The sequence below is a fragment of the Homo sapiens genome, chromosome 15 (genome assembly GCF_000001405.40).
Source record: "Homo sapiens chromosome 15, GRCh38.p14 Primary Assembly".
Classification (NCBI taxonomy): domain Eukaryota; kingdom Metazoa; phylum Chordata; class Mammalia; order Primates; family Hominidae; genus Homo; species Homo sapiens.
In genome coordinates, this window is record NC_000015.10 from 56,538,003 (window position 1) to 56,561,552 (window position 23,550).

The 23,550-nt window shown below is 37.1% G+C and overlaps 1 long non-coding RNA gene across 2 annotated transcripts in view; it reads right to left on the reverse strand.

Moving 5' to 3' along the window:
• The window catches only part of LOC105370832 (uncharacterized), a 126,090-nt gene that overhangs the window by 58,496 nt on the left and 44,044 nt on the right, over positions 1–23,550 (reverse strand). The window contains exons 2-5 of one of the 2 annotated variants that reach the window (XR_002957754.1): positions 11,155–11,508; positions 9,858–10,005; positions 5,557–5,810; positions 4,585–5,094 (exon numbers count right to left, since the gene is read on the reverse strand). The exons of the other annotated variant lie outside the window; for it this stretch is intronic. This is a non-coding gene — a long non-coding RNA (uncharacterized LOC105370832). Of the gene's footprint in view, positions 1–4,584; positions 5,095–5,556; positions 5,811–9,857; positions 10,006–11,154; positions 11,509–23,550 lie in introns of those variants that run through there. 2 annotated transcript variants of the gene reach the window in all.

Sequence of the window (23,550 nt, forward strand, 5' to 3'; positions counted from 1 at the left end):
GCTTCAACACCTGTTAACCACAACCATGAGGCTGCCGGGCCTGGCTTCATCTTGCTTTCTGGCTGTTGCTACAATGGTGTAACCGCGGCTCCGCAGCTGCTATGTTGGCAGTCACTCCAGGGGCTGGGGCCTGGCTTCTGCCTTTGGGGAGCTTTAACAGTCACACAGGTCTTGGTGCAATAGATGCTTCCCTTCTTCTGGCTCCCACAGCCTTTTGCTCATCTGTCCTTGCAAAGCCTATCATATTTCACTGTAGTTAGCTCATGTGTATCTATTGCCCTCACTGTGAGGAAAGGACCATGTCCTACTCATTTTTCTCTCACACTTACCAGTGCTGGCACTGGAAGGAAAGAATGAAAACTGAGTGACCACATGAATTAATGAAACATTCTCCTTAAAATTATTTGTTGGAACTTTAAATAAAACACTCATCATCCTATCAGTTATTACACCCCCCCCAAAATGATACTTCTGATTTAGTGTAATTGGTTGCTTTTTCCCTCCCCCTTCACCCTGGAAACAAGTAATCTTTCTTGATTATCAACATCTATTCCCTAATACAAAAATAGAAAAGAAAAACATGGACTTGTTATAAACCTACTGATGGCTTCCTCTCCGAGAGCTACCTTTGTACATCTCTAAATAATATTTAACAATATTTGATTTCCTCAACCTCTCAGATTAGTGTGTCTGAGACATTATGTGGACACTGTGCATACTGCTTATGTATCTGAGCATATCTAATTCCATTAATGGCATGAATATAATGATGCTCCATTTAAAAAATATTACATGCAATTTTTTCATTTGGAGAATGGAATGCTTCTGGCTTTTTGGGGTCTTGAGAATTAAGTATCTCTTTGGAATCTTCAGGAAATTAGGTAAAATACTGAAAGTTTATCATGCATTTTAGAAATAAGGATGCCAGGTTATTCTCCACTTGAATGATCTATTTTGACTCACCTAAATTTAACTCTTCATTTCCAAGTCAGATCAGAGAGTGCTCACGGGCATGGTAAGGTGGGAAGTGAGGGCTTCGGCTCAAACCAGACTTAAGCTTGCTGAGCATCTTGACCACATTAGTAAACTCTTTTCTCTTCAGGTCTGTGAAGCAGGGATAATATTACTGACTGCAGAGGGTTACTGTGAAAATTAAAAGACAACATTGCATGCATAACATTCTTAGCTGTATTTTGTGAAACAGCATTCCCTCTACTGAAGTTAGTATCCTTCCTTTCCTCATTTACTGGTCACCAACAATGCTTCTTTTCCCAACAGGGTGCACTGTAGTGTTGATACGCAAGTATCACTTCCTATAGAACGGGGAAGTTGAGGTGTGTGCATTATACAGTTACACAGTTGAAGCAAATGTTAAGAACAATTCCCCGGTATTTTGATATAACGCACTCTGGGACCTTCTGGTTCTTCTCTAGTGGCGGTGCCTTTATTCAGTCCAGAGACTTCTCCTCTTAGCCTCAGTCTCTGAGATTACTACTTCACCCACACTCCTTTTCTCCTCAACCTCCAGACCTCAGGAGCAGGTTCTTGTCTTTGCTTTTCTTCTCCACATTCCCGCCAGCTCAGCCAGCAGCCTCCCTGGGTTCTCCTCACAGAAAAACCTCCGGTTTTCGTAGTCCAGACTCCACTTCTCTGATCTGAGGCTGTTCCCCGGATCACACCCTGAGTGTCATTCTCCTTAGCTCTTCCCGAGCAAACACTCTTGTCCTCAGAATGTCAGGTTCTCCTTGATAGGGTGTTTCTCTACCTTCTCCAGCTGGGTCATTTACTTAATCCTTTTCTGACCTTTGGTTATCCTAAAGGCACATCTCAGCTTGTCACAGTCACTCTTTTTTACCATTTTAATCCTCTTAGAATCACATGGAAAATCCCTGTCCTTGGCAGGAGTAATAGAGATGAACACAGACAAAGGCCCATTTATAGCTGAACAACACCCTTGACTTTGGAAGTGTTTCTCCTCTTCCTTTACAAAAGCGAAGCACTTCAAGCGCACACTTTTCTTATATCCACTATTTCTACCTGTTTCCCTTCAACTAACAGTAAAGGAGATAGAGGACTTTTAAATTTAAAATCGTTCCTTCCTTCCTTCCCTCCCTCCCTCCCTCCCTTTCTTTCTTTCTTTTTCTTTCTTTCCTTCTCTTTCTTTCTCTCTCTTTCTTTCTTTCGTTTTCTTTCTTTTGACGGTCTCCCTCTGTTGCTGAGGCTGGACTGTACTGCCCTGATCTCGGCTGGCTGCAACCTCCCTGCTTCGGGCTCCCGTGATTCTCCTGCCCCCGCCTGCCGAGTGCCTGGGATTGCAGGCAAGCGCCGCCACGCCTGACTGGTTTTTCTATTTTTGGTGGAGACGGGGTTTCGCCGTATTGGCCGGGCTGGTCTCCAGCTCCTGACCTCCAGTGATCTGCCCGCCTCGGCCTCCGGAGGTGCTGGGATTGCAGACGGAGTCTCGCTCACTCAATGCTCAATGTTGCCCAAGCTGGAGTGCAGTGGCGTGATCTCGGCTAGCTACAACCTCCACCTCCCAGCCGCCTGCCTTGGCCTCCCAAAGTGCTAAGATTACAGCCTCTGCCCGGCTGCCACCCCGTCTAGGAAGTGAGGAGCGTCTCTGCCTGGCCGCCCATCGTCTGGGATGTGATGAGCCCCTCTGCCTGGCCGCCCATCGTCTGGGATGTGAGGAGCACCTCTGCCCGGCCGCCCATCGTCTGGGATGTGAGGAGCGCCTCTGCACGGCCGCCCCGTCTGGGATGTGAGGAGCGCCTCTGCCCAGCCGCCACCCTGCCTGGGAAGTGAGGAGCGCCTCTGCCCGGCCACCCTGTCTGGGAAGTGAGGAGTGCCTCTGCCCGGCAGCTGTGCAATCTTCCAACTGTGAAGTGACATCCTTTCCGCAGGTGTACCCAACAGCTCCGAAGAGACAGCGACCATCGAGAACGGGCCATGATGACAATGGTGGTTTTGTTGAAAAGAAAAGGGGGAAATGTGGGGAAAAGAAAGAGAGATCAGATTGTTACTGTGTCTGTGTAGAAAGAAGTAGACATAGGAGACTCCATTTTGTTCTTTACTAAGAAAAATTCTTCTGCCTTGGGATGCTGTTAATCTATAACCTTACCCCCAACCCCGTGCTCTCTGAAACATGTGCTGTGTCAACTCAGGGTTAAATGGAATAAGGGCGGTACAAGATGTGCTTTGTCAAACAGATGCTTGAAGGCAGCATGCTCGTTAAGAGTCATCACCACTCCCTAATCTCAAGTACCCAGGGACACAAAAATTGCGGAAGGCCGCAGGGACCTCTGCCTAGGAAAACCAGAGACCTTTGTTCATGTGTTTATCTGCTGACTTTCTCTCCACTATTATCCTATGACCCTGCCACATCCCCCACTCTAAGAAACACCCAAGAATGATAAATTTTAAATATTTATTTTTCCTCTTTTAAAAAAGATCAAAAATGTTCACTCTGATGGTAGTTTCTTCTGCTGTGCAGAAGCTCTGCACAGCAGAAGAAACTACCATCAGAGTGAACAGGCAACCTACAGAATGGGAGAAAATTTTTGCAACCTACTCATCTGACAAAGGGCTAATATCCAGAATCTACAAAGAACTCAAACAAATTTACAAGAAAAAAAAACAAACAACCCCATCAAAAAGTGGGTGAAGGATATGAACAGACACTTCTCAAAAGAAGACATTTATGCAGCCAAAAAACACATTAAAAAGTGCTCATCATCACTGGCCATCAGAGAAATGCAAATCAAAACCACAATGAGATACCATCTCACACCAGTTAGAATGGCAATCATTAAAAAGTCAGGAAACAACAGGTGCTGGAGAGGATGTGGAGAAACAGGAACACTTTTACACTGTTGGTGGGACTATAAACTAGTTAAACCATTGTGGAAGTCAGTGTGGCGATTCCTCAGGGATCTAGAACTAGAAATACCATTTGACCCAGCCATCCCATTACTGGGTATATACCCAAAGGATTATAAATCATGCTGCTATAAAGACACATGCACACGTATGTTTATTGCAGCACTATTCACAATAGCAAAGACTTGGAACCAACCCAAATGTCCGACAATGATAGACTGGATTAAGAAAATGTGGCACACATACACCATGGAATACTATGCAGCCATAAAAAAGGATGAGTTCATGTCCTTTTTAGGCACATGGATGAAGCTGGAAACCATCATTCTCAGCAAACTATCGCAAGGACAGAAAACCAAACACCACATGTTCTCACTCATAGGTGGGAATTGAACGATGAGAACACATGGACACAGGAAGGGGAACATAACACACCGGGGCCTGTTGTGGGGTGGGAGGAGGGGGGAGGGATAGCATTAGGAGATATACCTAATGCTAAATAATGAGTTAATGGGTGTAGCACACCGACATGGCACATATATACATATGTAACAAACCTGCACATTGTGCACATGTACCCTAAAACTTAAAGTATAATAATAATAAAATTAAAAAAATAATAATTTAATAACATGATTTGAACTTAAAAAAAGATCAAAAATGTAAAAAATACAAAAAGAAAATTTATTACCTAATCCCATAAACCAGACCTAAACATTGCTAATGATCTTGTTTCATATATATATATATCTACTTATCTATATCTATATCCATATCCATGCTGCAAAAATCTCCATACAAATTTGTTTTTAAAAATCTTTAAGCAACCCAAATTGTCCTGGCTATGTTTATTAAGTTTGGCACATGATCTCCTTGTCAAAATGATTTTTTAGTTTTCTTTAAATAATGTGACAATGTACTTACAGTAGTTGATTAATACATCTCTTATTCATAATTAAACTAGGATTATTTGACTTAATGGCTTTAATTTTGATAAAAGTGCAACATCGATGCAGGTTTATAATAAATGCAAATTCTACTATTAGAAAGTACTTAACAAGAGTCCATTCTTGCCATTCATACTATTTATTTTTGAAGCATTTATACCTTAACTGACTCAGATTCATCAGTGATTCAGAAAGCAGCAAATTGTGTCCTTTATTGTCTCTTCAAGTTCTCTTCTCTCTCTCTCGTGGCTCTTTTATTGACAACCTACTGATGAGAATGGTGCACCTGAGCTACCTTCATTCTCTGATCCCCCTTTAACCCTGCACACTCGGGATTCCTCTCACACTTCTCTACTGGTACTAGGCTCTTGTATTTGCTAGGTAGAGGCTCAGCTAATTCTAATGGGGACCTTCAAATAATATCTAGAGCTCATATGGTAATCTGTAACATTAGGGACCCAGGTTCCTTCTACTCATCGTTTCATCCCTGTCCACATGATCTAAATGGCTCCTCACCATTTCCCAAGAGGCTCCTCACCATTTCCATGATCTAAATGGCTCCTCACCATTTCCCAAGAGGGAAAGGAAAGAGGAGGGCATCCCATCCCTATAATACAGCTGTCATTCATTTGTCCATAAGCTGTGATCATCAGATATATTGCTTCATTGTTATTTTGAACAATGTATTATATCCGTTAATATGAAAAATAAAATATTTTATGTTACTTACACTTCTTTCCTGATGCTCCCTGTTGCTTATGCAGACCCAAGTTTCTGACCTACACCATTTTCCTCCTCTCTGAAGAACTTCTTGTAATCCTTCTTTGCAAGGTAGGTCTACATCAATTCTTTTTTCTGATAAAGTCTTTATTTTTCCTTCACTTTTGGAGGATAATTTCACTGGGTACAAACTTCTAGGTAGATTTTTTTTTCCTTTCAATTCTTTAAATATTTCACCACATGCTTTTCTTGCTTGCATGGTTTCTGAAAAGAAATCCAATGTCATTTTTATTTTTGTTCCTCTGTAGGTAAAGTGTATTTCCCTCCCCTGGCTTCTTTCTAGATTTTCTCTTTGTCTTTAGTTTTCTGCAGTTTGATTATTATGTGGAGGTGTGCATTTTTGGTATTTACCCTACTCAGTGTTATCCTAGCTTTCTAGATCTGTGGTTTTGAAAATGTTGAAAAATTTTCAGCCATCATTACTTCAAATATTTCTTCTGTTCCTTTCTCTTTCTTCTCCTTTTGGCAACCCTGTTACATATAGTTACACCCTTTGTAATTGTCTTATAGTTCTTGGGTATTCTGTTCCATTTTTAAAAATTCTTTTTTCTCTTTGCTTTTTGGTTTAGAAAATTTTTATTGACATATCTTCAGGCTCAATGATTCTTTCCTCTACTGTATCTAGTCTACTGGCACTCTTCATTTCTGTTACAAGTGGTTTCTTTCCTGGCATTTCCTTTTATTCTTTCTTAGCATTTCCAACTCTCTGCTTATATAACTCATCCATTCTTTCTTGTTGTCCACTTTTTCATTAGACCTCTTAGCACCTTAGCATATTAATCATGGTTATTTTTAATGTTCTGATACTTTCAAAATCTACTGTGTCTGAATATGGTTTGCTTGTCTCTTCAGACTATGGGGGTTTTTTTGTTTGTTTTTTGCCTTTAGCATGCTTTGTAACTTTTTGTTGAAAGCCAAACATACTGTATCAAGTAAATGGTACTGTGGTAAACAGACCTTTCATGTGAGGCTTTATGTTTATCTGATTAGTATATAGACTGTGTTTACTATTGCTATTGTAGTAGGTGTGAAAGAATAAAATTTCCCCTAGTGTCCTTGTTTTTCTCTGTTGTCTTCGGGTTTCCCTAGAGACTCCTTCTCAAATAGTGTCTGAGTCTTATAGTTTCTTTCTCCCACATCAAAGCCTTGAGGAGGCTGAAGTTGGGTATTTTCCTTCTCCAGAGTCAGTTAGAGTCTAGTAAAACTCAAACAAGCTAGATACTATTAAAATAGATCCCTTGAGAACAAGCCTTTGTTAAGGAGAACAGAATGCTCTATGTGTATTTCAAAATGATTATTCCCCGTCTTTATCTCCCCTACCAGAGCATGAGGGGATTTTTCTCTGTTCTTTACCCTGAAAACCTTATGGGACTCCTAGAGGTAAAACTGATGATCCCTAAAGCTGGATCTCCAGGAAGTGTTCTCTCAAACTAGTCCAAGGCTCAATATCCAACAGTTAGTCCATTATCTATAGTATTGTCTCCAGTAGCAACTTCTGTTCCCAGTATGCTGTGATACTCTGTATTTACCTGTCTCTGCCATTTCAGGGGCAGCAGTTTGCCCTGTGGCCTCAATTACCTGATGGATCTAAGAAGAGCTGTTGATTTTCAATTTGTTCAGCTTTCTTCTTATTGTGAGGATGGAAGTGATAACTTCCAAGCTTTACACATGTTGGACCAGAAACCAAAAATCTTGAGCATTTTTCACATGCTTATTAGTCATTTGTATGTCTTCTTTGATAAAATATCTATTAAAATCATTTAGTCATTTTGTGTTGTGTTGTCTTTTTTTTTTTTTTTCAGATGGAGTTTCACTCTGTTGCCCAGGCTGGATTGCAGTGGCGTGATCTTGGCTCACTGCCGCCTCTGCCTCCCAGGTTCAAGAGATTCTCCTGCCTAAGCCTCCCCAAGTAGCTGTGACTATAAGTGTGTGCCACCATGCCCGGCTAATTTTTTTTTGTATTTTTAGTAGAGATGGGGTTTCACCATGTTGGCCAGGCTGGTCTCGAACGCCTGACCTCAGGGGACCCGCCCACCTCAGCCTCCCAAAGTGCTGGGATTACAGACGTGAGCCACCATGCCCAGTGTGTTGTCTTATTGAGTTGTAGGTTTTCTTTATATATTCTGAATATGTGTCAATTTTTAGATACATCATTTGCATGTATTTTTCCCAGCCTGTGGTTTGTCTTACCATTTTTAAAAAGGAAAAGTTTTTAATAGTGGTGAAGTCCAAGTTATTATTTTAAAAATGGATTGTGCTTTTAGTGTCATATCTAATGAATATTTGACTAACCTAAGGTTACAAAATTTTTTACCTATGTTTTCCTCTAAAAGTTTATAGTTGTAGTTTTACACCTAGGTCTATGTTTCATTTAGAGCTAATTTTTGTCTATTGTGTGAGGTAAGGGCCTATGTTCCTTTAGATAAATTGATAGATACATACATAGATGTAATTATTCCAGCTTTTTTTTAAAAAAAAAAAAAAGATTGTTCTTCCCCTACATTGAATTGCTTTGGAATCTTTGTCAAAAATCAACTGACCATATATATATATGTGCATTTATTTCTGAATTCTGTTGTTTTCACATTAATTTATATATCTATCTTTATGCCAAAGCCACACTGTGTTAATTTCTGGAATTTTATAGTAAGTTTTGAAACCAGGTAGTGTAGTCCTCCAGTCTTTTTCTTTGGAATTCTTTTAAACTATTTTAGGTGTTTTTTAATCTAGATTTTAATCTAAATTTTAGGATATGTCTGTCAACATCTACAGAAAACCTACTGGGATTTTGATAAGAATTTTATAGACTTGATTGTTTAATTTGGGGAGTACTGTCATCTTAATATTAACTCTTTCAATCCACGAACACATATATCGCTATTTATTTAGGTCTTTAATTTCTCTCAATAATGTTTTATAGTTTTTAGTATAAAGGTCTTATCCTTGTTTCATTAACTTTATTCCTAAGTATTTTATTCTTTTGAATATTACTACTGTGAAACAATACGTTTTATTAATTTTATTATTGGATTGCTATATTAATCTTGTATTCTGTGACCTTGCTAACCTTACTTCTTAGTTCTTGTAAGTATCTTTGCTTTGCTTTGTTTTTAACTAGATTCCCTGGAGCTCTTGCAGGGTGGAGGGGAAGGAGAATCAGCATTCTCCCTGGGAGAAAGTCCCTATCTATCCCATATCAGCCATACCAGCTCTAGCTTATCTTTTGCATATGTTGAAAAATATCTTAAAAACAGTTTGAATACAAATAATCTACCTTACTCTCCTTTTATTTTGCAAGTGAGGAAACTAGCTGATCGTCAAATCCCTGAGTAAATTTGATGTGTAGTTTAAAATAAAGTGTAAAATTACAAAGGCAAAAACAGGTATGACATGGATATACAACAGAAGTAAGTGAATCAGTAAAATGGCAGTCTTGTTCCTAATGAAACATTCTATTCTGTCATTATAAATATTTATTCACAGATACAACTATTCAGCTTTATGCAAATATCATAGAGGAAAAATATGTAGATTTGTCGTTTTTCTTATCTCAAATTGGAGCTGCATTTGAAAAGGTTAAAAGGCTGTATAATTACACTGTTATTAAATGTCACATGGATCAATATCATTCAGGTTAGGCCAGGTGGTCGTGTAACTCAAGTGTTAGTTATTTGCAAACCTGCTCATGAGTGGCCCCTAAGGTTATTATTAGTGAGGTACCAGCTCTTCTCTTGACTTCATTGCTGTTAGTGTCAGCAAACCAGTGAACCTCTGCCATGTCTTTCCTGTTTATTCATAGAATGTAGTATTAGAACGTTCTTGCTTTTCATGTATGATTGTTTCTACCTTTGAGTATATATCTCATGTAACATTTTAATAATCCTTTTAATATGCATAGCTCATTTAAAATGTATACTAGCCAGCTTGTTATTAATTCTCTTTGGCAGAGATAAGTTAGCTGAATACTAAAAAGCAGAGAAAGAAAGCCACCAGGACTCTCAATTATTAATAGGAGTTATACCCAGGGACTTTTTGACACTGGATACAGGTAGTGAAAGGTCTTATTTTAAAATGGCAAAAGACTGACAGCAAAAGTGCTCTGAAAAATCTCAAGCGAAATGATGGAAACAAGAACAGAGAATAATGTATATATTTTTAAAAGATTTAGAGAAGTCTGACACTTAATCTTGGAAGAAAAACTAATCCAAGTTTTTCACAGTAATTAGAAACCATTGAATTTTTGTCACTTACCTAACCATGTTTATATATTGTAGCGATTGTCTTTAATAGAATAAGAACAGCACAAAATTGTGGCTTATTATAAAGCATAAGGTGATGGTTACTTTTTAAAATCTACATTTTTTATTGTCTGGTATCTCAGGAGGGTGTCAAGGAGCAGCTGAAAGGGACAAATGGGGTATTATTATATAAGATACTAGAAATTTTAATATAGCATTAATATTTTGACTTAGGAAAAAGTTTATAATTGGGTATTTGTGTGCCTGACAAAATATACAACTACTGCCCTCCACTGTATCCTAAAACAGAAAACTTAGACTCCGAGTTCCAAATTAAGTTTTATACATATATTGCTAATACAAAGGATCACAACATATCATAAATTACAAATGTAGCACATTTGGAATAGAAATATAACTAACATTTTAAATTGTCTGCGCAAAATAATTTCACTAGTCACTTTAGAGCTTGGAAGCATTTTGGTGTAGCATTTGGTGTCTCAAGGATCATTTAAAATCTATTAAGATCACGTGCATGGATGCGTTCCTTTTCTTTTGATCGATTTCCCTGCAGCAACAAAAGGCATTCAAGATAGTTACCTTGATCCCAAAGCTGTGTATATAATTTATTTATTTTTGGTGACCGTAGTATTTTTCTTCTTAAGAAGCATGTTTGTAAAGTGTCTATCACCTTTCTGTATCTGTCACGGGGAGAGGGCCACTGCCAAGCATCCTGCCTTAGAATGGGGCTGTCTCTGCAAAGCATCATGCTTCGTGTCAGGAAGGTCAGGTATCTGGGGTCAAATCTTGGCTCTGTTCTTTACTAACATGTGAAGTTTAACCTCCCCTAAACTTAGTTTCATTATCCGTTCACTAGGATAGCAACACCAACCTGGAATTGTTATGAGGGTTAAAATGACTGTATTTAAACATAAGACCCGGCTGGGCATGGTGGCTCATGCCTGTAATCCCAGCACTTTGGGAGGCTGAGGTGGGCAGATCACCTGAGGTTAGGAGTTCCAGACCAGCCTGGCCAATATGGTGAAACCCCATCTCTACTAAAAATACAAAAGTTAGCCTGGCAGGGTGGCGGGTGCCTGTAATCCCAGCTGCTCTGGAGGCTGAGGCAGGAGAATCACTTGAACCTGGGAGTCGGAGGCTGCAGTCAGCCGAGATGGCACCACTGCATTCCAGCCTAGGTGATAGAACGAGACTCCATCTCAAAAAATAAAATAAAATAAAAAACATAAGATCCAGCTCCTAATAAGCACTAATAAATGGTAGCTATGTAATAACAATGCTTCACTCACTACTATTTCAGGACCAGGAGATAATATCTTTGATGAAAAGAGTGAGGAAATAATGATAATCTTCAGCTCTCTTTTTTCCTTGCCTGTTGTCCTCTGTGTATCTCTCCACTGTGACCAGTAGTAGCAAGGAGTGGAGGTGGCTCAGGAAAGTTGGGCAGAGCCACAGCCAGGCTCCAGGACTACCTCAGTGTTGGTTTCAGGATTTCGGTGAACAGGGCAACATGGGTCATTGAGTTAATGTGAAGGCAAGCTCATCAGGATGGTAAAGCAGACAAAGTTTGAAGGAGAAACTTCAGTTTGGAGTGTAGATTATGCGTTGGGCTAGAGTCCTCTGTGTTGCATTTCTGAAGGAGTCTGAGAAAAGCAATATGTGACAAGATGGGCTATAGGTCCAGAATTCTTTTTTTTCCAACCATTTTAATGATGAACGGTTAAGATAAGCTGATGTATTTCTTTCATATATATATATATATATATATAACATAGCACATGTATACATAGGTCCAGAATTCTAAACTTAGATGACCCTCATACGTATTAAATTAGTAAAGGCAATTTAAAAATTCTAAAACCATGTATGTGGGGCAATGGGGATGTCGGTTGACTCATCCCCTGCTAGTGACATTGCAAATGAGTAATCTTTCAGGACAGCAAATTGAGTAAGATTTAGAGAAAAACATCACAAAACCAATCATATTGTTCAAGACTTTCTGAAGTAAGTAAAAATTGCATTCCTCTGTAATTTTGAAGGACCCTAGAGTAGCTCACACCATTGAAGACTGAGCTGTTGACCATCTAAGGCCTGCATCCTATATCTCAAGATCCAAGAGAAACAGAGGACTGAATCTTTCCCTCTCCAACATGGACACTGATTGGACAGACTCAGGTCACATGTCCTTCCCCCAACACTGACAAATCAGTCATTTCCCAGAGGAATACAGGAGAATGAGGAGCCCATCCAGTGAAGGTGAGCACTATAAATGACCACTCCCTGGACCACACTCCTCCTTGTGCATTTCCTGAAGAAAAGGGAGGTGAACAAGAAGACAGGAAATGGGAAAACATCCTAGACAAAATAAAATAGCCACCACGATCCAATATTTTCATCATGCTCTTTCTGATAATAATATTCCTGAGAATATATCCCAAGAAGTAAGTTGAAATGGGGGAAGAGAGGGTTTGTATGATTACTGTGCCAACATATTATAGCTGTGTATGTCTGAACATTAAAAAAACTAACTGAAAATGCTCCAAATGATCAAATGCCAAGGAATGGCTAAATATACTCTGGCAGTTTGCAATAATAAGCCAGTTTAACCTACTCAATTTTTTATTTTTTTAAATGACAAGTAATAATTGTACATATTTGTAGGTACATTGTGATGTTTCAATGATATAATATATAGAGATCAGATTAGGGTAATTACCATATTCATATCTCAAACATTTATCACTTCTTTGTGTTGGGAATATTCAATATTCTCCTTCTAGATATTTTAAACTATATAATATATTATTGTGTGCTACAGTCATCTTATGGTGGTACGGAACACCGGAATTTATTCCTCCTATGTAGCTGTAATTGAGAGTGTACTTTGTTCAACAGTAACATAGTAGGAACATAAGGATGGATAAAACATGGACTCTGTCCTTAAATGGTCACCCTGTGGCATTACTGATCACAGCAATGGATATTTTTGAGCACTCACCAGTTGATAGGCAATGTGCCAAGTTGATACATTCAATCGTCTGAACAATATTCTGAGAGAAGCACTTTAGTTATATCCATTTTATAGATGACAAAACTGATTTTAACTTCCCTAAAGTCACATGCTTAATAATTAATGGAAATGGGACTCCATCCCAGGCCTTCTAACTCTAAAGTTTCTAACTTCAAAGGTAACACTGTAATAGAGATTTAAAACAAAATTCTGTGGAAATACCAAAGAGATAATTCTTTCTAACATTTTTTTGAGTTGTAATTTGACAAGCAATGAGCTGCACATGTTTAAGGCATAGCATTTGATAAGCATTGAAATGCAGCTGTGAAGCCATCTGACCATCTATGACTACAGATTAATGTGCATTTCTAGAATTTTAAGTTTGTCTGAAGTTTGTCAGATTAATTATATTGAGATCCAACCATAATGCTGCATGTATCAAAAGTTTATTTTATTTTATTGCTGGGTAATATTCCATTGTTTGGATATACCACGATATATTTATCCATTCAGCTGTTGAAAGACATTTGGATTGTTTCCAGTTTTAGTCTATTACAAGTAAAGCTGCTGTAACAACAAAAGCACAGGCAAAAAAAGTAAAAATAGACAAACTGTACTACATCAAAATTTAAAACTGCTGTGCATCAAAGGACACAATCAACAATGAAAAGACAACCTACAGAATGGGAGAAAATATTTGCAAAGTATATATCTAATAAGGGGTTAGTATCCAGAATATATAAAGAACTTCTACAACCTAACAACAACTCAAAAAACCCCAGGCAATTAAAAAATGGACAAGGGACTTGAGTAGACATTTCTCAAAGAAATATACAAATGGCAAAGAAACACATAGAAAGACATTCAACATCACGAGTTATTAGAGAAATGCAAATCAAAATCAACTGATAACACCTCTCACCCAAAGGATGACTATTATCAAAAAAATAGAAAATTACTAGTGCTGGAGAGGACTTGGAGAAATTGGAACACTTGTGCCTTGTTGATAAGAATGTAAAATGGTGTGGCTACAGTGGGAAACAATATGATGATTCCTCAGAAACTTAAAAAAATAGAACTACCGTATAATCTAGTAATCTTGCTTCTGTGTATATACCCTCCAATATTGAAAGAAGAGTCTCAGAAAGATATTTGTACACTTATGTTCATAGCACCATTATTTGCAATAGCCAAAAGGTGGAAGCAACTCAAGTGTCCATCAACAGATGAACAAATAAACAAAATATCTTATGTAAATAAAATAGAATATTATTCAGCCTTAAAAAAGAGTAAAATTCTGACACTTGCTACAACATAGATAAACCTTGAGGACATTATGCTAAGTGAAATAAGCCAGTAAAAAAGAGGACAAGTATTCTATGATTCCACGTATGTGAGATATTTAGATTAGTACAATGGTGGTTACCAGGGGCTGGAGGGAAGGATGAATGGGTACTTGCCATTAGTGGGTATAATTTTTCAGTTTTGCAAGTGAAAAGTATTCTGGAGATTGGTTGTACCACAATGTGAATGAACTTACTACTGAACTGTACACTTTAAAATGATAAAGATGGTAAATTTTATGTAACACAATTTTTTGTAAAAGTCAGTATAGCGATTACCTTTGCAGAGGTGGGAAGGGGTTTTGATTAGGAAGGGGCACATCCATCTATTGTCATTTTATCCCTTTACTATAATTTTAATAGAGTTGTGGGAGAAAGTGAGATAAAGGCATGAATTTAAACTGTTGCACAAGTTTTTGGGTTTTGATTTTGTTTTAGATAATACTACCCAGTTACCAATGTGGGAAGCATAGACTGAAATCAGAAAACCCTCATGGCAGTAGATATCTGTAGGGAATGGTTATCATAGTCAAATTTAAACACACTCATGTGATTGGATCCCAGATAAGGAGAATAGGCAGAAAGGATAAATCCAAATCAGGTGATTGGGTCATATGGCCTTTAAGAATATTTGCAAATTAGCTTCAGTTACTTATCAAGGAAATCTTTCTCTCCCAGTACCTCTAGAACTGATGCAATACGCTGACAATCCAATTTGAAGAAGTCATTTTGGTATGCTCACATTACTAGGATTCTAAAGATTTTTCCATTTGACTGGACTCACTGTACACCTCAGGTTCACTTCCATCAAATATTGAAATTTCACTTGGATTATTTTCTTCTTTTCATTTGAGATCTGCCTCAGCCTCAGATTATTACGTTGCATTATCTGAACTAGAGGTTTAGATAGATAAGTGAAGTCCAGGTACATTTTACCAGAAGAAGAGGACAAGTGGTATAGAAAACTAGTAGACACAGGGAACCAGCATCTATTGAATACATCTCTAAAGCTGTGCTATTGATTTTAAACAGGTTGTGTCATTTAATATTTATGACAAGCCTATGAAGTATATATTATCATTTCCTATTAAATAAATTAATATACAGAGGCTCAGAGAGCTTTGATAACATTCCCAATGTTAACAAAGTCACACAGAATAAGGAAATAGAATTCAGAACTCATGGGTTTGTTTCTTCTGAGATTGTTTTCTGTCCTGCCTGGAGTGTTGACTGGGTTTGTGAAACTTGATTGTAACCAGAACAAAGCCAGCAAGGCCCTTGACTGAGATAAGATCATATGCCTTTCTCATTTCTTCATGTGCCTTTTCCCAATTACTGTGGAAAAGATGCTTCCCTAAAGAGAGAATGCAACTACACTTTGCCAAGAGGAAAGGGGATTCATACTCCACAGTTTGGCTTTGACTCCTATATTAATACTGCCAGAGGATAAACAAATTCAAATTCCGTATTGTGAAATTTGGGGTTGTAGAATAAAGTATCACAAATTCAATGATAATTATGTTTAGATGTTAAGATTATCCCTGCTGCCAAATGACAAAACCAAATAGTGATGATCACTGAATTTGCATCAATCCAGACTTTGTACTTACTTATTCATGAATCCTACACTGATTTTTACCCAACTCATAAAAGGTTTATAAGAGCACAAGAGGAGACATACTGAAAAGTTTTTAAATATTTAGTAAATGAATGGCAAGTTTTCTAATTATCATGGAAAATTAAAGTCATCTTTTTAGTTCAATGCAACAAACTTGCATTAGAATGTTAAAGTAGTTTGTTGCTTAAAAGAGATAAAAACTCCTACTTTTGTGTTTAGAATCTGCCCCCTTGTATGGAGAGTTATGGAAAAAGTGAGTATGTTTCTAGATCTATGTAAAACAAACTTTTGCTGAAATACCATTTCCTCCAATTTATCTGTCCCAGTCTGACTTATTTAGCCATTCTTTAACCTTGGATGTCTACTTATTGTGAGAAGCACCTGAACATTTAGATTACTGTTAATTCTTTGAATAAAGTTCCAGGCTTTAAATGCCATTCTTTCCAGTACCCAGAGCAGTGGTTCTCAGTCTTGGCTGCAGGTAAGAACCAGTTATAGTGGTTAATTTTATGTGTGAACTTGACTGGGCCACAAGGTGCCAAGATACTCAGTTAAACCTTATTTCTGGCGTTGTCTGTACGGGTATTTCTGGATGAGAATAATATTTGATCAGTAGACTGAGTAAACTAGATTGTCCTCCCCAATGTGGGTGAGCCTCATCCAATCCATTGAAGTCATAAATAGAATAAAAGGCTGAGTAAGAAAGGAATCTTTCTCTCTGCCAGTTTTCAAGCTGTGACATCAATCTTTGCCTCAGACTTTGAACTTGGACTGTTACTGAAACACCAGGGGTTTGGTCTAGGTCCTGCAGCTCATCGCACAGAAAGCCAATCACTGAGACAACAAGTATTGCCAAAGAAGAAGGCTTTAATCCAGTGCTGTAGCCAAAGAGATAGGAGCTTAGTCTCAAATCCATCTCCCTGACCAACTAAAACCAGGGGTTTATATAGCAGGGAAGAAATGTAACACTGTGTAAGAAAACAGGAACTAGGGAGGGGCAAGGAAGCAATCATGATGAATGAGGGGTCCAAAGTATGATAGTCTGGATGTGGTGATCTGGTTAGTTTCAGTTCTTTGACACTTTTTTTTTTTTTTTTTTTTTTGAGAGGCCTGAAGGTCCTTTCCTGAGGAAGGAACTCAGATAAAACAAAAAGTTTCAAGCTTTAAGACCAGAAAAGTCAGTTTATATGTTTATCTAAAAGAACAGTCCACAGGACTATTATGTTGGTTTCAGGACCCAGATTAAAAATTATACCATCAGCTTTCCTGGTTCTTGTTCCTTTGTAGTTAGACTGGACTGAACTATATCATCAGCTCCTGGGTTTCCAGCTCATAGACTGTAGATTGTTGCCTTCATAATCACATGAGCCAATTGCATATTTAAGATATATAATGTATATATAAATTATATATTTTTTGTTTCTCATATGTGTGTGTGTATATATATACACACAAGTGTGTGTAGTGTATATATATATACACACAAGTGTGTGTGGTGTATATATATACACACACACAATACAAGTGTAATATATTGGTTTTGTTTTATATGTGTGTGTGTACATATATATAAAATACACTTACTCCTATTGGTTTTGTTTTACTAGATCTCTAGGACTTACATCTTGCATAAGTGACGCTTTGTACCCTTTGACCAATACTTCCCCATATTCCTCTTTCCCCAGCCCCCAGAAACCACCATTCTTCTCTGTTTCTATGACTGTTTTAGATTGTTCATATAAGTGGGATCATGTAGTATTTGTCCTCTGTGTCTGGCTTATTTGGTATAATGTCCAGGTTCATCCATTTTGTTTCAAATGGCAGGATTTTACTCTTTTATAAAGGCTGAGTAATATTCCATTGTATGTACATTACCACTTTTTCTTTGTCCTTTATCCATCCATGGACATTTAGGTTGCTTTCATATTTTGGCTGTTATGATAATGCTGCAATGAACATGGGATTGTGGATATTTATTCAGATTCTGACTTCAATTGTTTGGATATACACCCATAAGTGAGATTGCTGGATCAAATAGTAATTCTTTTTTTAATTTTTGAGGAAACTATTGTTTTTCATAATGGCTATACAAGTTTACATTCCCACCGATAGTGTACAATGTTTCCTTTCTCTCCACATTTTTACCAACATTTGTGATCTTTTGTTTCTTTGCTAACAGCCATCATAATAAGTGTAAGATGATATCTCATTGTGGTTTTGATTTGCATTTTTCTGGTAAGTAGTGATGTTGAACACATTTTCATATATTTGCTAGCAATTTGTATATCTTCTTGGAGGAATGTCTGTTCAGTTCCTTTGCCCGTTTTTAAATTGGGTTATTTGTGGGGCTTTTTTTTGCTATTGAGTTATAGGAATTCTATATATATTTTGGATATTAACCATTTATCAAATACATGATTTGCAAATATTTTCCCCCATTTCATAGACTGCCTTTTCCTTTTGTGGATTTTTTTTTCTTTGTTGTGCAGAAGCTCTTTTGTTTGATGTAATCCTGCTTATTTTTTTTATTTTGTTGCCTGTGCTTTTGGTTGTTTTATCCATGAAATCATTACCAAAGCAAACGTCAATAAGTTTTTTTCCCTATGTTTTCTTCTAGCAGTTTTACAGTTTCAGGTCTTACATTTAAGTCTTTACTCCATTATTCGTAAATTTTTCTGTATTGTGTAATATGAAGTTCCAATTTCATTCTTTTGTATGTAGACATCTAGTTTTCTCAGCATAATTTATTGAAAGGACTATCCTTTATCCATTGTATATTTTTGGCATCTTTGTGGGAGATCAGTTGACTGTACATGTAAGGGTTTATTTCTGTTCTATTATGTTCCAATGGCCTAAGACATACGTGCATTTTTATGTCAGTACTATCTTGTTTTGAATACTATAGCTTTACAATGTATTGTGAAATCAGGAAGTGTGATGCCTCCAACTTTGTTCTCTTTGCTCAAAATAGGTTTGACTACTTACTACTTACTGTGGTTCCATAGAATTTTGGAACTTTTTTGTATTTTTGTAAAAAAATGTCATTGGGATTTTGATAGGGATTGCATTATATTGCTTTGAGTAGTATGAATATTTTAACAATATGAATTCCTCCAATCTATGAACAGGTGATATCTTTTCATTTATTTGTTTGCTTTAATTATTTTCCTCAAGGTTTTATGGTTTTCAGTATACAAGTCTTTCGTCTCCTTGAAAGTTTGTTCCTAAGTATTTTAGCTTATTAAATGGGATTGTTTTCTTAATCCTTTTCAGACCATTTATTGTTCATATATAGAAATGCAACTAATTTTTGTATGTTGATTTTGTATCATGGAACTTTTACTAAATTCATTTGTGATTTCTCACAATTTTGGGTTTAGCGTTTGGTATAATCTTAGGCTTTTCTACATAAAAAGTCACGTCTTCCACCAGTTCATAATTTCTTCCTTTCCAATTTGGATGCATTTTATAACTTTCTACTTCCTGATTGCTTTGGCTAGGACTTCTACAACTATGTTGAACATAAGCAGCAAGAGTGGGCATCCTTGCCTTGTTCAGGATCTTAGAAGAAAATGTTCTTAGTTTTTTACCAATGAGTATGATATTAGCTGTGGGATTTTTGTATATGGCCTTCTTTGTTCAGGTAAGTTTCTTTCTGTATCTAATTTGTTGAAACTTTTTAACATGAAGGAGTGTTGAATTTTGTCAAAAAAAATTTTCTGTACCTTCTGAGATGATCATGTGATTTTTTATCTTCTATTTTGTTAATGGTATATCACAATGTGGTATATTACATTGATTGATTTGTGTATGTTAACCATCCTTGCATTCTAGGAATAAATACCACTTAGTCATGCTGTATGATCCTTTCAATGTACTGTTGAATTAGTTTTCTAATATTTTTGGGTCTTTTGCATCTATGTTCATCAGGGAAATTGGCCTGTGGTTTTTTCCTTGTGATGTCTTTGACTGGCTTTAGTATCACATTAATGCTGGCCTCATAAAATTAGTTTGGAAGTGTTTACTCTTCTATTTTTTGGAAGAGTTCACAAAGGATTGGTATTCATTCTTTAAGTATTTGGTAGAATTCAGCTGTGAAGCCATCTGGTGCTGTGCTTGTTTTCATTGGGGGTGTTTTTGATTACTGATTAAATCTCTTTATTTGTTATTGGTCTGTTCTGGTTACCTATTTCTTCCTGATTGCATTTTGGTAGGTATTTTGTTTGTAAGTATTTATTCATAATTTTCTAATTTGTCCAATTTAGTTCTCATATAATGGTTCGTAATAGTCCCTTAAATCTCTTAAATTATTTTGTTTCTGTCACATCCAGAAATATCTTCTCTTTCATTTCTGATTTTATTTTCATCTTTTCTCTTTTTTTTATTTGTTAGTCTAGCTAAGGGCTTGTCAATATTTATCTGTTCAAAATCAATTCTTAGTTTTGACAATTTTTGTATTGTTTGTCTCTTCACTATTATATTCTTTTCTGCTCTAATCTTTATTATTTCCTTCCTTCTTTCCTTTGAACTTGATTAATTTTTTTTTAGTTCCTTGAAATATAATATTAGGTTGTTTATTAGGGATCAACTTTCCTCTTAGTACTGCTTTTGTGTATCTCATAAGTTTGGGTGTGCTGTGTTTTTGTTTTCCTTTGCCTTGAGATATTACTAAATTTTCCTTTTGATTTTTTTCTTTGACCCAGTGGTTGTTCAAGAGTGTGTTGTTTAACGTGCATGAAGTGTGAATTTCCCTTTTTCTTTTGTTATTGTTTCCTAGTTTCAACCTATGATGCTTAGAAAAAATACTTGGAATTATTTCTATCTTCTTACATTAAGACTTATTTTGTGACATATTCTGATTTATCCTGAAGAATGTTCCATATGCACTTGAGAAGAATCTGTACTCTCTTATTAGATGGAATGTTCTGTATGTCTATTAAGAACAGTTGGTCTTTAGTATTGTTAAAGTCGACATCTTCTTTATGATAATCTATCCGGCTCCAACATCCGTTATTGAAAGTGGAGTATTAATGTCTACGCTATTATTGTATTACTGTCTACTTCCCTTTCCAGATCTGTCAGTATTTGCTTTATATATTTAGGCATTCTGATGTCAGACACCTATATTTGTTATATCTTCCTATTGAATTGACCCTTTCATCATTATATAATCTCCTTTTTCCTTTGTTACAGCTTTTGTCTGAAAGTCTATTTTATCGTAAATAATTGTATCCATGCCTGCTCTCTTTTGGTTATCATTTGCATATGTGAAAGTTGCAAGATTAAAAATGGAGTCACTCATGTTTAAAATCCTGACAAATGGAGGCAGAGAAGGCCACAAAGGGAGGGTTCTTACGCACAAATCCCTGATAAGAACTTTTACGAAAGTCTGCAAAAATCACAAACTTGCACAAAAGCCACTGCAACCTTACACACAAAAAATTCTTTTACAAGACATATACCCAGTAACTGACTGTCCAATATGAAACTAGTGTCACCCTTATTATTGGTCCTTGTAGCCAAGAATAATTGATTCCAAAAACTTATGTAATTCTGTCATTTAAAAAAAATACCTTTGCCTTCCTTAACCTCCCTGAATATGTAAATAGTCATTTTTGCATTGTTGAAATTGTCCGTTTGATACTGGAACACATTCTTAAATAAATGTGGTTACGTTATATATCATTTTAATGTGTATTTCTTACTTTACATTTTTGTGCTCATGAGTTACTACTTGCTCTTTATTTTATATTTATTTTAGACTATAGAAGTGATGTTAGACAAAAGGAAATTCAAGTGATTTTTTTATTCAAGTTCAAAATGTGTCATAAAGCAGCAGAGACAACCCACAATATCAACAGCACTGGGCCCAGGAACTGCTAATGAACTGTACAGTGCAGTGGTGGTTCAATAAGTTTTGCAAAGGAGACAAGAGCCTTAAAGATGAGGAGCATAGTGGCCAGCCATCGGAAGTTGACAAGTACCAATTGAGAGCAATTACCAAAGCTGATCCTCTTACAACTACACAAGAAGTTGCCAAAGAAATCGATGTTGACCATTCTATGATCATCTGGCATTAGAAGCAAATTGGAAAGGTGAAAAAGCTTGATAAGTGGGTGCCTCATGAGCTGAGGGAAAATTTTTAAAAATTTGTCATTTTGAAATGTTGTCCTCTCTTATTCTATGCAACAACAATGAATCATTTCTTGATCAGACTGTGATGTGTGACAAAAAGTGTGCTTCCTATGACAACTGATGACAACCAGTTCAGTGGCTGAACTGAGAAGAAGCTCCATATCATTTCCCAAAGCCAAACTTGCACCAAAAAAGGTCATGGTCACTGTTTGGTGGTCTGCTGCCACTCTGTTCAGTTTTCTTTCTCTTTCTTTCTTTCCTTCCTTCCTTCCTTCTTTCTTTCTTCCCATTTCTTTCTTTTTTTTTTCTTTGAGACGGAGTTTTGCTCTTGTTGCCTAGGTTGGAGTGCAATGGCATGATCTCAGCTCATTGCAACCTCCGCCTCCTGGGTTCAAGCGGTTCTCCAGCCTCAGCCTCCTGAGTAGCTGGAATTACAGATGTGTGCCACCATGCCTGGCTAATTTTGTATTTTTAGTGGAGACAGGGTTTCACCATGTTGGTCAGCCTGGTCTGGAACTCCTGACCTCAAGTGATCAACCCGCCATAGCCTCCCAAAGTGCTGGGATTACAGGCATGAGCCACTGTGCCTGGCCCACTACAACTTTCTGAATCCCAGATAAACTATTGTATCTCAGAAATATACTCAACAAATCGATGAACTGTGCCAAAAACTGAAACACCTGCAGCCAGCACTGGTCAACAGAAATGGCACAATTCCTCTCCATGACAATGCCCGACTGCACATCATACAACCAATGCTTCAAAAGTTGAACAAATTGGACTACAAAGTTTTCCCTCATCTGCCATATTCACCTGACTCTCACCAACCAACTGTCACTTCTTCATGCATCTTGACAACTTTTTGCAGAGAAAACGCTTCCACAATCAGCAGGAGGCAGAAAATGCTTTCCAAGAGTTTGTCAAATCCTGAAGCATGGATTTTTATGCTATGGGAATAAACAAACTTATTTCTCATTGGCAAAAAATGTATTGATTATAGTGGTTCCTACTTTGATTAATAAAGATGTGTTCGAGCCTAGTTATAATGATTTAAAATTCATGGCCCAAAACTGCAATTACTTTTGCACCAACCTGTATTTCCATTGCAATGCCCATTCCCAAATAAACTTCATTTGCTTTTAGAAAGTTTCTCTCTGTCTGTTATACAGGTTGATCTAATTTGGTGTCCACTAAGCAGGAAGAAAGCATCCTCATCAGAGACAGATCACTGGCCTGTGGAATCAAGTGCAATACTAACTGAGCCCTTGGCATTCTCCACTTCCATGAGTTACCTTTTCGGCTCTGTGAATCTCTCGAATTCTTAGATTCTTTCCTTTGGTGGGTTCTTTTTTACTTTATTCAGGATCTGATTTGCTTATAAGCTTGCTGTAAAGAAAAAAACTTGTATTCCTCTTAGAACTATAAAATTTTTTTGTTGGGGGTCCATTCCAAGAGGACCAAATAGGAACAGCTCCAGTCTGCATCTACCAGCATAACTGACGCGGAAGACAGGTGATTTTGGCATTTTCAACTGAGGTAGCTGGTTCATCTCATTGGGACTGACTGGACAGTGGGTACA